This window comes from Homo sapiens, chromosome 2 (assembly GCF_000001405.40).
Source record: "Homo sapiens chromosome 2, GRCh38.p14 Primary Assembly".
NCBI lineage: Eukaryota > Metazoa > Chordata > Mammalia > Primates > Hominidae > Homo > Homo sapiens.
The window spans coordinates 120,745,162-120,759,267 of record NC_000002.12 but is presented as its reverse complement, the minus strand read 5'-3'; the positions used below and the strand labels follow the sequence as shown (position 1 = coordinate 120,759,267).

The 14,106-nt window shown below is 44.9% G+C and overlaps 1 protein-coding gene across 3 annotated transcripts in view, besides 3 other annotated features; it reads right to left on the bottom strand.

The window, feature by feature from the left end:
* The window catches only part of GLI2 (GLI family zinc finger 2), a 256,786-nt gene that overhangs the window by 233,386 nt on the left and 9,294 nt on the right, over positions 1-14,106 (bottom strand). The window lies entirely within an intron of this gene.
* Positions 2-863: an enhancer, noted in NCBI's record as "H3K27ac-H3K4me1 hESC enhancer chr2:121515981-121516842 (GRCh37/hg19 assembly coordinates)". NCBI's record gives its function as "activates a minimal SCP1, AML or CMV promoter by ChIP-STARR-seq in naive H9 embryonic stem cells {active_cell/tissue: H9 hESC(naive)}" and the evidence as "EXISTENCE:reporter gene assay evidence [ECO:0000049][PMID:30033119]".
* Positions 5,475-5,990: an enhancer, noted in NCBI's record as "H3K4me1 hESC enhancer chr2:121510854-121511369 (GRCh37/hg19 assembly coordinates)". NCBI's record gives its function as "activates a minimal SCP1, AML or CMV promoter by ChIP-STARR-seq in primed H9 embryonic stem cells {active_cell/tissue: H9 hESC(primed)}" and the evidence as "EXISTENCE:reporter gene assay evidence [ECO:0000049][PMID:30033119]".
* Positions 13,126-13,627: an enhancer, noted in NCBI's record as "H3K4me1 hESC enhancer chr2:121503217-121503718 (GRCh37/hg19 assembly coordinates)". NCBI's record gives its function as "activates a minimal SCP1, AML or CMV promoter by ChIP-STARR-seq in naive H9 embryonic stem cells {active_cell/tissue: H9 hESC(naive)}" and the evidence as "EXISTENCE:reporter gene assay evidence [ECO:0000049][PMID:30033119]".

The window sequence follows — 14,106 nt, the reverse complement described above, 5'->3', positions numbered from 1 at the left end:
CTGAATTGAATTGGAGGACACCTAGCTGGTATTCACGGCAGAAGTGCTTGCTTGCCGTGGGTATGGAGAAAAACCCCCACACATTTGGTCACACATGTTTTCTGTGTTGACAGAGTGAGAGTGTAAGAGAAACTGAGTCTGTTTCTTCCTACATTCTCAGACCAGCTCTGCTGCTGCATTTGCTCATGAGGCCTCACATGGCCAACCACAGCTCCATGAGCAAAAGGAAACCTGCCAGTGTGGGGGTGGGGGAGGGTGCAGGGAAGATCATGCAGGATTGGGCACAGAAAGGGCCTGGCCCCCAGTCATCGTGTCCACTTCCTCCAGAGGGGAGAGGAAGGCCAGCTGCACCTCAGCCTTGATCAGGCTGTATGTCCCTGGAAAAGTCACCACCACTGCCCCTCCCCTTCTGTGCAACGAGATGGTAGGAGTGGCCAGTCTCTGGGGCCCGCTGACCCTCACTCTGTCTCTCCCACGGCTGGCCTGGCCTGACCTTTGGATGGTGGGCTCCCCAGGGCCCACCCACGGCCCTCACCCGCAAGCCAAGGAGGCCCAAGGGCAGCTCTCACAGCCTCCTGGATGATTTACAGCCACCCCGCCCGAAGCTGCAGGCCGAGCAGATATTTTCCATTTTCCACTGTGTAGCTGAGCTCAGACGTTATAGGGAGCCCTGGGTCTAGGCCTTGGGCCTGGCCGTGGCTTCCCCTCTCCTAGGTATGTAGGCAGGCCAGGGGCGCAGGCTGAACATCTGTGCCTAGGCCCCAGCACTCCCTCACAAGAGAGGGTCCTCGGTCCTGCAGCCAGGTCTGAGAGGCCCGGTCAGGGGGAGGAAGCCAGGCCTCCCAGCCAGCACCATTCACATAGGCCCTTCCCACTTCCGCTTTCCCCTCTCCCCATGACAGCATCATGGAAGAGTGCCTTTGCTGGCAAGCCTGAGCACTCTGGGGCTTTCTGCCCTGATGCAGCTCCCACGCTCAGCTGTGCACAAAGCCCTCAGAAAAGCTGCTGAGATTGTGTGTGGTGCTAGGAGTAAAATGCAAACCTCCAGCCCACACAGATGTTCTGTGAGGCCTAGTCCCTCAAGGCCAGGCGGCCCGGATAAGTGGTGAGATGTCCCTGCCCCTGTCAGCTTCAGGCCTCTCCCCAGCCATCCCTCCTCACACCCGCTGGCCACACCAGCCTCTCCCGTCAGGTCTTAAACACATCAGGGTGAGGACTATCCTTACAGTGGACCACTCACACCACTTAAAATCAGAAAGGCCCTGCTAGTGAGAAAAGTGCAAGGTGAGCTCTCTGCTTCGGCCAAGATGGAATAACAGGGACCAGATGTAACCTCCCTCCCAAAACCATCAAATAACCAGCAAAACCATGGAAACAATGGCTTTTCAGGACAATGAACATCAGGCAATGAAGGAACGAAAACCAAAGAGGTGAGCCTTAGCCTGCCCCAGCTTCCTTTCCAGAGAGTGTTTCCAGGCCACGGCACAGGGAGGGGTAACCAGGCAGAGCTTGGTGGATTCCTGAGTTAAGGAGATGGAGATGGAGTTGGAGAGGAGGGAGACCAGGGTAAGAAGGGTTTTGCATGGCAGAACACCAGACCAGTGGAAGAGCTGAACAGAAGGGGAACATTGGTGAACTTGCAGAGGGTCCCCCTGGAGCATTGCAGAATAGAATCAGCACATACTGTTCTTGCCCCAAGGCCAGGAAAAGATCCAGCTGAGAGGATGAGAGGGAAGAGTGCCCAGTGTAGACAAGGCCAGTGCCTATGCCCACCAGCCAGACTGGAAAACCTCAAAAGTCACACAGCCTTGGGTAGAGAACTCTGAAGGATTTTACCTCAATAGCAAGGAATAATTAGCCCTAGGCTCTGGTCCCATCTAACAAAGCTAAAAAAATTAAACTTTGCAAGTAAATGAATCATATCCTAGAAGAAAGCTCAAGAATATTTATAGTAAGACAAAAATATTCAACATCCAATAAGATAAAACTTACAATATTCTAGCATCTAGCAAAGATTACCAGACATGCCAAAAAAAAAAAAAAGCAGAAAAGTACATGAGGAAAATAAACATCAATCAAAACTGAGCCAGAGCAGGTACAAATGTTAGAATTCGCAGATGAGAGCATGAAAACAGTAGTTATAAATGAATTCCTGTGTCCAAAGAGTTAAGTGGAGACATGGAAGATACAAAACGACCCAATCAAACTTCTAGAGATGAAAAATCACTAGATGGAATTGGTGGTAGATTAGACATTGAAGAAAAAAGATCTGTAAACTTGAAGAAATAGCAACAAAAACTATCCGGTATTATAAACAGAATAAAACATTAAAAAAGAGCATATGAGCTGTGGGATAACTTCAAGCTGCCTAATATACATGTAACTGGAGTCCCCAAAGGAGAAACAGAACATAGAGGATAGGAAGAAGAAATATTTAAAGACATAAAAGCTAAAAATTTTCCAAATTTGATAAAAACTACAAACCCACAGAAAATCATAAAAGCAGCCAGAACAAAGGATATTAGTAGAGATGATAAAGAAAGTCATCTGATACCATGACAATCCTAAACATCTATGCACCTAATAACAGAGCTTCAAAATACACAAAAGAAATTTTAAAGAACTGTTTTAACAGTTGAAAACCAACTAATGAAATTTATTATGTTATCCAATCTAAGATCAAAAACAAGATAAGAATAAGAACTCTCACTACCTCTAGGCAACATTGTACTGCAGGTTCTAGCCAGTGAAAGGCAAAAAACTAAATAAAAGGAATTCAGATTATAAAGGAAGAAGTAAAACTATCTGTATTCACTGATGACATAAACACATGTATAAAATCTGACAAAATCTACAAAAAGCAGGATATAAAAGCAATATAAATAAACCAATTATATTCTTTAATATTAGCAAATTGAAATTTTAAAATAACACAACAGTATCAAAAACATAAAATATCTTAGAATAAATCTGAAAAAAGATGTACAGTACTTGTACACTAAAAGTTATAAAACATTGCTAGGAGAATATGAAGAAGATGTAAATAAATGGAAGGACATACCTCGTTCATGAGCCAGATTACTCAATATTATTAAGATGTCAATTCTCTCCAAATACATCTACATTTACCACAATCTCAATCAAAATCTTAAAAGCAGGGTTTTTGGAGAGATTGCCAAGATGATTCCAAAATTCATATGAAAATGCAAAGGACCTAGAATGCAAACTCTGAAAAAGAAAAAGAATACTTAGAGAGCTAAGCTACCTGACTTCAAGACTTGTTATAAAGCTACAATAACCAAGAAAGTGTGCTGTCACTGTCAATGTACACAAATAGATCAAAAGAATAGAACAGAAAGTCCAGAATAGGCCCACACATATATGGGAAGCAGATTTTTTTACAAAGGTGCAAAGGCAAGTTGATGCGGACAGAATAATCTTTTCAACGAATGGGGCTGGAACAATTTTTTAAAAGAACTTTGATACATACTTTGTATTATATACAAATATTAGCTTAATTTAATATATATCATATATTAAATTTAAAACCTAAAACTTTAATACTTCTTAAAAGAAAACATAAGAGAAAATCCTTGTGACTTCAATTTAGGCAAATATTTCTTAGATGAAATTCCAAATGCATGATATATACAAGAAAAATTTGACAAACTGGAGTTCATCAAAACTAAAATCCTTTAGTCTACAAAAGACACTGTTAGGAAAATGAAAAGATAAGCCACAGGCTGGGATATCTGCAAAAGACTTCTATCCAAAATATATAAAGAATTCTCAAAACTAAGCAATAAGGAAACCACCAACCCATGTTAAAAAAAAAATTGAGCAAAAGATTTTCTTAGACTTTTCACTAGAGACAATATACAGGTGGCAATAAAGCACACCAAAAGAATCACATCACTAGTCATTAAGAAAATGCAAGTTAAAACCACAATAATATATCACTATACACCTATAAAAGTGGCTAAAATTCAAAAGACTAACTATTGCAAGTATTACCTAGGATGTGGTAGGAATGGAACTTTCAAATACCATTGGTGGGAATATAAAATGGTACAGCTGCTTTATTAAACAGTTTTGTGGTTACTTAAAAAGTTAAATAGGCTGTGTGTGGTGTCTCATGCCTGCAATCCCAGCACTTTGGGAGGCCAAGGCGGGTAGACCATTTGAGGTCAGGAGTTCAAGACTGGCCTGGCCAACATGGTGAAACCCGTCTCTACTAAAAATACAAAAATTAGCTGGGCATGGTGGTGGGCGTCTATAATCCCAGCTACTTGGGAGGCTGAGGCAGGAGAATCCTTTGCACCCGGAGGCGGAGACTGCAGTGAGCCAAGATTGCGCCATTGCACTCCAGCCTGGGCAACAAGAGTGAAACTCTGTCTTAAAAAAAAAAAAAAAGAAAAAATGGTTAAATATACCAACCCTCTGGCCCAGACACACCTACCTATGATCCAGGCATTCTACTCCTCGATGTTTACCCAAGAGAAAAGGAAAGCACATGCGCATACAATGACTTATACAGAAATGTTCAAAGCAACCTCACTTGTAATAGCCCAAAACTGGAAACAACCTAAATATCCATCAACAGGCATCTGGACAAACAAATTATGATATATCCGTATGATGAACTACTACTCAGCAATAAAAATGAATAAACTATTGATACGTGCAGCAACATGGATGAATTCCAAAATAATTGTGGTGAAAGAAGCCAGACAAAAATGAGGACATCCTGTATGGTTCCACTTTTATAAGCTCTGGAAAATGACAGGAAGCAGATCAGTGGTTGCCAGGGAAGGCCAGGGGGTGGGGTGGGGGGACAGATTACAGAGGGGCATGAGGAAACTTCTGCGGATGATGGATATGTCCATTATCTTGATTATGGTGATGGTTTGCACACACGAGTCAAACTTTATCAAACTGTACATTTTTAAAAAAAAACTCCGCTGAAACATAGTTTCTCTTCCAACTATCAGATTGGCAAGGATCGACAAGTTTGATAACACTCCCTGTTGATGTGGATATGGGCAGATAAGCACTCTCGTACGTTGCTGGTGGGAGTGTAAACTTCTATGGAAAGTGATTTACCAATATCTGTCTAAAGTACAAAAACACCCACCCTTATGAGAAATTACCAAATGGTTATAATGTACCCTATACGGTGATGGTTACACTAAAATCCCAGACTTTACCACTACGCAATATATCCACATAACACACGGCACTCGTACCCCTAAATCTATAAACATAAACACAATTTTAATAGAGATGGCACAAGAAAAAAATGTTTGTAACATGTGAGAAGCAGAGGAAATAGTTGTTTTTTTTTTTTTTTTTGAGATGGAGTCTCCCTCTGTCGCCCAGGCTGGAGTGCAGTGGCGCGATCTCGGCTCACCGCGTGAGCCAAGATCACTGCAAGCTCCGCCTCCCGGGTTTCCGCCATTCTCCTGCCTCGGCCTCCCGAGTAGCCAAGACTGCAGGCGCCCGCCACCTCGCCCGGCTAATTTTTTGTATTTTTAGTAGAGACGGGGTTTCACCGTGTTAGCCAGGATGGTCTTGATCTCCTGACCTCCTGATCCGCCCGCCTCGGCCTTCCAAAGTGCTGGGATTACAGGCTTGAGCCACCGCGCCCAGCCTGGAAATAGCTTTAATTTATGATAAACGTACAAATCTTTAAGAAAAAACAAAGACACTGACGGAAAAATTGCTAAGAAACACAAGCAACTAACAAACACACAGGAAAATACAACATAAAATAAAGTATTTAAATATTTAATATTACTGATGCTAAAAAATGAAAATTGAAACAACCAGATTTTTTCTTCTATCAAATTGCAAAGATTAAAATCCGTAGAGAGGCCAGGCACAGTGGCTCACGCCTGTAATCCCAGCACTTTCAGAGGTCGACGCAGGTAGATCACCTGAAGTCACGAGTTTGAAACTAGCCTGGCCAACATGGCGAAACCCTGTCTCTACTGAAAATACAAAAATTAGCTGGGCGTGGTGGCGGACGCCTATAATCCCAGCTACTTGGGAGGCTGAGGCACGAGAATCCCTTGAACCAGGAGGCAGAAGTTGCAGTGAGCTGAGATCGTGCCACTGCACCCTCCAGACTGGGCAACAGAGCGAGACTCTGTCTCAAAAAAAAAAAAAAAAAAATACGTACAGAAAAAAAAAACACCCACCCTTATACCCCGAAGTTTTACACCCAGAAGTTCTAGGAATTTATCTACAAAGAGATATTCATGTATGTGAAATGACATAAGGTTATTCAATGCAACCTTGTTTATAGTGGCAAATGTTCATCAATAGCTACTAAATAACCGATGGTATAACCATACAGTGGTATCCCGCCCAGACACACAGAATGGGAAGCTGTTTATGTGCTCACAGGAAAAGGTGAGTGAAAAAGGCAAGTTCCAATACAGGCTGTAAAATATGCTTCCATTTGTGTACAAAAAAGTAAAAAAGATTATATATACTCATTTCCATGCCACTTACACAAAACTTATTTCAGGAAGGATACACAAAAAACTAGCATTCTTGAGAGGTTTTGGGTGGCTGGGCTACGGCAGTGGTACGAAAACTTTATAATGTATGTATAACCTTCATGCTTTCTGAACCTATTAACCATGTAGGTATATTACTATTCAATAAATAAGTATAAATAAAAATTAAAGATAGGGCCAGGTGCGGTGGCTCACGCCTGTAATCCCAGCACTTTAGGAGGCCGAGGTGGGCGGATCACGAGGTCAGGAGATTGAGACTATCCTGGCTAACATGGTGAAAGCCCATCTCTACTAAAAATACAAAAAGTTAGCCGAGCATCGTGGCAGATGCCTGTGGTCCAGCTACTCGGGAGGTTGAGGCAGGAGAATAGCTTGAACCAGGGAGGCAGAGTTTGTAGTGAGCCAAGATCACGCCACTGCACTCCAGCCTGGGCAACAGACAGAGACTCCGTCTCAAAAAAAAAAAAAAAAAAATTAAAGATAGGTGAGAAATAAAGTGAATGAAGATGATCTACACACATATACATACATGTACACACGTGGATAGAATGCCAAGACATATTGCTAAATGACCACAAAGAAAGCAAACTGCCAAACACTGCAGTAGTATGATCCCACTGGTGTAAAAATAAATGATAATAATAAAACACTGGTCTATATCAATAGAGAAATGGAGACACAGGCATACTCACTATCAGCCGTTCTCTCTAGTGGGGGTCGTGCTCACTCAACACTATACATTTCTGCAGGTTTAACCTTTTGTATCTTTATTACTTTTGCATCAGAAAGAAACTGGCTTCATGGGCTGCCTTCCCCTGGGTAGTTACATTTTTAATCACTTGCCCAGAAATATGAATAAAGAGCCTTAAACATGATCTCACCTTTGATCAAGAATTCTACCTCTGGAAATGTATTCAAAGAATGTGGTCAGAGACATATCTGTGGGAAAACATGCACACTAATACAGTGTGAAGATTGCAAAACAATATGTGTGCTATGATCCCATGAGTCCAGAAGGTATTCATAAACATAAACAGAAAAAGGCCCAGAAGGAACTCACCAAGATGCTAGGGCATTACCCACAGAGAACACCAACGTGGGCCTGGAGTCCAGAATGCCTTCTTTTCCTCTTTTCAAGAATTTTCTCATAATTATTTTATAAAGGATCTGCTTTTATTTAAAAGAGAAAGTTATGCACACTAATAATCTCAGAGTATTTATATATAAGCGTGTTTGGAGAATAATTACTTATGATAAAGAAAAATTGGCTTTTATGTCCAAAATAGAGTAATCATTTTGTCAGGGCTACGACAAATGCTTATCAAAAAGTATTAAGTAAAAAGTACGAGATGCAAAACTGTAAACCATACAATCTAAAATCTGTAAAGTTTGGGGGGAAGGGGAGAACGGTGGAAAGGATAAATATTCACAGGAAAAAAAGACTAGAATTAAACAGGCCCAAAAGATAAAATAGAAAAAAAAATCTAGAAGAACAAATGTTATTTTAGTATTTGGGCCATCATGATCCCTAAGTTGGGGTAAAGATGGGAAAAGGCCAATTTTGGGCAAGGGATCCTTCCGGGGCCCTTTCCAGCTGTCCTGTCCTTCAGAATTCACATTGAGTAGCTACAGGGGGCTGGCCCTGTGGGAGCCACACAGTCAGTACCCTCAGGAGGCCACGTGTACCTTTTCCAACCGGCAACAGTCTCCACAGCTGGAGCAGAGTTGGGGGCCACCATCCTGGCTTCCGGAGGGATCTGGCTGGAAGGCCCGCTTTGGAGAGGCCTCTGCAGAGCAAGGTAGAGGCAGGCGGTACCGGGGCATCCCCCTGGGGCCCAGTGCAGCCTCCAGCAGCATGAAGGTGGAAAGGTAAAATGCTGTACCAGGCACATCTTAGAAGTGCTCCCTGGTAAACATCGGACCCCTTTCCTGGCCACAGAAAAGAGCACAGAAGTATCCAAGTTCTGGGAAGGGCAGGCTCTGCTCCCTGCCAGGATGTCTTTTGTTGTTAAGGCCCAGCAAGATGGGAACTATGGTGTAAACCAGCAGCGCGTGCTAAATGAGAATGAGGACTTTGCCTAACGAGAGCCCAAATGAGTCAGTAGAGTGGTAGCTGCCAAATATATCGTGCCCACACAGACTGCCTTTTTAATAATAACAACCAAGATGTACTGTGTGCTTACTATGCGCCAGGTAATTGTCTCATACTAACTCTTTTACCTCTAACCCTTTGAGATGGGTCTTAGAGTTATCCTCATTTTACAGATGAGAAAATGGCAGGCCAGAGCTGGATTTGCAGTCTATCTCCAGTGCCTGCTCTGAGCCCCTTGCTCCACAGAATCTTCCCTGATGCACCTGTCCCTTCCCAATGGCCATGCCACAGCTGGACAGTCCCCCTCGGGGGAGCACTGGCTCTGGGGCCAAACTGATGCCCTGCTGGCTTATGCGGAAGTGCAGCACCCAAACTTGCCCCCAAAAGGGGGTGGTGAGCTAGCCTGGGAAAGAACTAGCCTCAGCCCTCCCTCAGAGAGCTGGGGACTCAGAAGGAATGAGTGTACCTCCTCCTGGAGTGGGAGGGGCTGAGGCTCACGACAGGGACACGAGGGGCCACCCAGGCAGAGGATGTCTCTGCTGAGACAAAGCCTGCGCCCTGCCCTCCCCTCAGAGGATGAGGCAGAGGCTCATGTCCCTGTGGATATCCTGGCGGATGAGAAACAGACCCCAGGGAGGAGAGGGAGCTGTGACGTTGATGTTCTATCTTTGGGACTTAGAGCAACTCCAATAAAACCACAAAGTCTCAGTGGCATCTGTAAAATGCTAGTGATAATACTGACTGCATCAGGCTGTCACCACTGCATGACACATGTCCTATACCTAGTGGTGGGGGCTGATGCGGCACTTGGTCTCCAAGGCCCCCCTCTTGAGATGATGCAACAGCATTTAAAGACATGTGCACTTCCCGAGGGACTACTAAGGTCAGGGGCTGCTGCCTTATTCAAGTACATCAGTGAGATGACTGTCAATGAGTCTAAAAACTCCAAATACAACCCTCTGTAATCACGAACAGAACAATTATGATCCCAGGCTCTGACTGTCATAGCTTACAGAGTCCTAGAAAAGATCTGTCCTGAGAAATGAACAAGTGGAGACCCAGAGAGGCACAATGGCCTGCCGCCTGAGGTCTCATGTTAACTCACAGGCAAAGCCAGCCTGGAACTCTGCTTATCTCACCAACTTTCCAATTCCTCATCCACCAAAACATCCTGCCTCCCACCTAAGATCTCTCCAAAGGGCATAAGAGTATTGTACAAAGAGATTATGTGTGGGGTCCAAATGAACTATACCACATGCTTAGATTTTTTTTTTAAAATACAGCTCTACTATATTAAAACTAATCACTAATTAATAATTGTGCTTGCTTTCTCAAACCAAGGAGGTCAATCTGGAGACTACCTGGTTAACTTATATTTTTTAAGAGAGATGTCAAAGAAAATGGGAAAATGCCATTTTCTTCCCTTGAAACATTTCCCAAAATTCATTTATAAACAAACACGTGTTAAGCACAAATAAACAGACAATGGCAAGGCAGTATTAATGAGTGTTATAAGCAAGGGAAATCCCAGAGACAAGTGAGAGCCTAGGGCTGTGGTAGGAAATACTTTACAGAGGACATGACCCTTGGCTTCATGGATGGGGAGGAAGGGTACACCAAAGACCAACAGCAAAGGCCTTTAAAATCCTTGCAGTCAATGAATGTATGATGGATGGATGGGTGGAAGGATGGATGGATGGATGGATGGGTAGATGGATGGATGAATGGGTGGTTGGATAGTTGGATGATGATGGATTGAGGATGGATGGATGGATGGATGGATGGATGGATGGATGGAGAATGCAAGATCACTATAATCTTAATCTCAACCTATAATCTTGACTGGGGATCATAGTAGAGAGCATTCTGAGAACCACCACCCACCAGACAGAAAGATATAACTTTAGAAACTGAGCCCAAACCCAAGACGGGGAGAATGAGAAGGCAAAGCTGATGATCAATCTCATTGCTGCACATCAGGATCCCAAATGTTCCAGCCTCGGAAAGAACCTGGGCCTCTGCACATTTATGTCCCATGACCTGAAGCTAAACCATGGATAGGCAGAGGAGTCATCCGGGGGGACCACAAAGCCACCCCTTGGAGGCAACCCCACGCTGACTCTCCCACATACCAGAGGCCCCAGAAATGCCACACCCTGTCCAGCACTTGCCCTATGAGGTCCTCTGCCCAGATTGCCCTTCCTTCCCCAACCCCTCTGCTGGCAAAGTCCTCCTCCTGGAAGACCCAGTCTGGCCCTCTCTTTGAGGAAGCCTTCCAAACTGCTCAGGCAAACTGGTTAATTAAAAGAGCCACTGCTCAAGGCCTTCACTCTGGGGCTTTTCATTATACTGACAGGACTTTGCATTCTCTGACTAGTAGCTGCAAGCATAGCTCAAAACAAAATTCATTGTGAAGTGGAAATTTGTCAGCCTGGAGCCAGGAAAACAGACCTATCCAGGGTCTTGGGGAAAAGAGTTTGGGGCAATTCCTGCTCCTGGCCAATATTCCCATGATGCCTTTCCAGATCATGCCTTTCCTAAAGTAGGCTCCGTCCTAGGCAAGGGGGATAAGGAGGAATACGCACATTTGAGAAACCTGCTGGGATTTCGGAGACTGCCGGCTCCGTAACCAAGTTAGCAAGGTGTGCCTACAGCCGTGAGCTTAATAAGTGCCGGGCACATAACAGATGTTCCAGTAAGTACTGGCTGATTGACTGATGGATTACACAAGGAATTCCTCTTGATGGCACCTGCCACACTGTTTCAAATTCAAGGCACAGAAAAGGTTTAAGATTTCCAGCCTGGTGTGAGAACTAGGTTTGAATAAAGTACTGCTGCCTGCTTTGACAGCCCCACTGTCAGAGTCCCTGGGAAGCCCCAGTGGCAGAGTCCTGTTGTGTCAATAGGGGAGGGGTCCCCTATGATGTGCCCCCACTCAGGGTTTCTGGAGAGCAGCACTGCTGACATTTGGGCTGAAAATTCTTTGTCATGGGCTGCCTTGTGGTTTACAGGATGTTCAGCAGCATCCCTGGCCTCTACCCACTAAATACCAATAGCATTCCCCTTGTTGTGACAACCAAAAATGTCTCCAGACAGGTCAAATGCCCCCTGGAGACACTGCCCAGTTGAGAAATCAGTGCTATAGCCCTTGTTTGAGGCAAACCAGCTGCTCCCAGGGCAGCCCTCAGGAGCCAACTCTGGGAGAGGGTCCTGGCTTGGGGGTCAGCAAACCTGCCTCCGCTCAGAGCTCTGCCCCTACTGCCCAGGTGAACATGGAGATCCGCCAGTGTCTCTGAGGCCCTGCTTACCCATCTGCAAATTGAGGCCCTATTTTGCAAGTGGCTTGTGTGTGTCTGAGCATGCAGAAGGCACAAAATAATTGTCTTACATTGATTTGTGCATAGCTGTTCTGAAAACCTCTAGCTAGCACCTCCCATCTCTTCCCCAAAGCTAGGTACATACTGCTGGAACTCCATTAACGCCTAACAAGGACCTGAAAAACAGCTGTCCAAATATTCTAGCTAAGTTATTCCACTTTTGGGAATCTATTTAAGGAAACAGAATTTCAGGTAAACATTCCGACACAAGGATGTCTATCCCAGTATTATCTATAATAACAAAAACTAGGAACAGTCTAAATGCCCAATGGTATAAGGATGATAAAATAAAATACGAGAGAGGCAGACAAAGGGATATTATGTAGCCAATAAAAATCACACTAATAAAATTATTAATAACATGAGAGATCTCCATGATATAATGTTAAATAAATAAGGAGTTACAAGACTGTATTAATGTAACCTCAATTTTGTAAGAAAGGATAGAGCAAAAAAAATTTTATATTAAAAAACAGAGACTAGCAGGAAATTTAACCAAATTTCTCTTTTCTGCTTCTCCTTATTTTACATTTTCAGTAAAAAGGCATGTCTTAGTTTTAAGATCTTGGGGGGCAAATAATGTTTTGCGGCTTTTTTTAGTATTTTTACATCAGGAGAAAGAGGTTTGCTTGAATCCAAGTGCTAAACCAGAGTCCAGACCTTGAATACAGAGACCAGAGCCCAGCAAAGAGATAGATCTTCAAACTTAAATAAAGGAAAACCCAAGAAAACAGAAGCAGAAGAAAGAGGGATAGGCATGGCTCTGGGCCACTGGGAAAACCAGAGGCACCCACAGGGGAGGAGGGTTGGCCGGGGAGCAGAGAGACCCAGGCCTCTCTTAGGCCTTCTACTTTCTGGCTGGGCAGGTGGCTGGGCAGCTTCTGGGGGGGTGCAGCTCGAGGTGGACACAGGTGCTCCACAAGGCTGCCTTACTGATGCCCACGGCCAGGCACTGGTCTGGGAGCTTCGCTTCTCACTGCTACAATCACTGTAAGCATGAGAACAGGACTTCCACCACCAGGGCAGGCTTGGGACCCAGAAGCCCAGCTAACCCAGGCTTCCAAAGGAGCTATCAGTCTTTTGTAAGCTGAGCCCTGCTCCAGCTTTTCCTGACCACCCATGCAAGGTGGCCCCTTGAAGACGGAGAGAGATGGCACTGAAGAAGCAACGCACTGGATCATGGGGCCTCTGCTGCTCTTGGTAAAACAGATGGGCTGGGCACCAGGTCCTACGGGCCCAGGGGCTGAGGGTTGCACCTGCAGAAGGATGTGGCACCCAGGTCTTGCACACCAGAGACCCAGAGGAGATGGAAATGGCACCAGCCCACATCCCACCTCCCTTCTCACGGGGCCCCCAGTGCCAGCAAGAGCCTGCAATCTACTGTACATATCTGCCTGCGCAGAAGAACTGCAAAAATGTGGACAGAAGGAATCCTGAGCCTCTTCAGACCAGCAAATCCCACCACATGGCCACCAGGTGAACCAGCTGCAGGGTGGATGAGGACCCACCCACATCACAATTTCAAATGTTTCCAGTGTGTTCTTCCATGCACTCTTGAAGTCCTGGCCCAGGTGCACTTGTAACATTAGCATCAAGCAAATGAAGTCTGCAGTGCAAAACTGTATGAATCAAAGCCCCAGAAGCCACCCCACATGGTCACAGCTGCGGGTGTGGAAGAGCCCAGGTCTCCAAGGCCTGCAGGACAGTAGTGAAAGGAAAAGTCTGTTCCTAGGCCCCTAATCTTGAGTGAGGGCTCTGCTCACCCTCAGGGCAGGCTCCTTCCAGCTCCCAGGCCTGACGCCACCACACAGCATCCTCTTCTGCAACTTCACCCCTATTGGACAATCTGTCTCCTTCCTACTTTTCTTAGGGACCATAAAGGTGTCCACAAGGTAGGCCCTTCAACCAAACCTAAGTGTGGGTCAAACTTCCAAAAGACCTACTCAAACTGTCCAATGCCAAATTGGTCCCACTTCAGCCACAAAGCATCCTGATGGCGCTGCAGTTCCTTACATGGAAAAAGAAAGGAGGCATCCCAGGGACACTTGGGACAGAACCTACAGCACATAAACCAACATGTTAACTTAATATACTCTCTTGTTTCTCTTGGGGG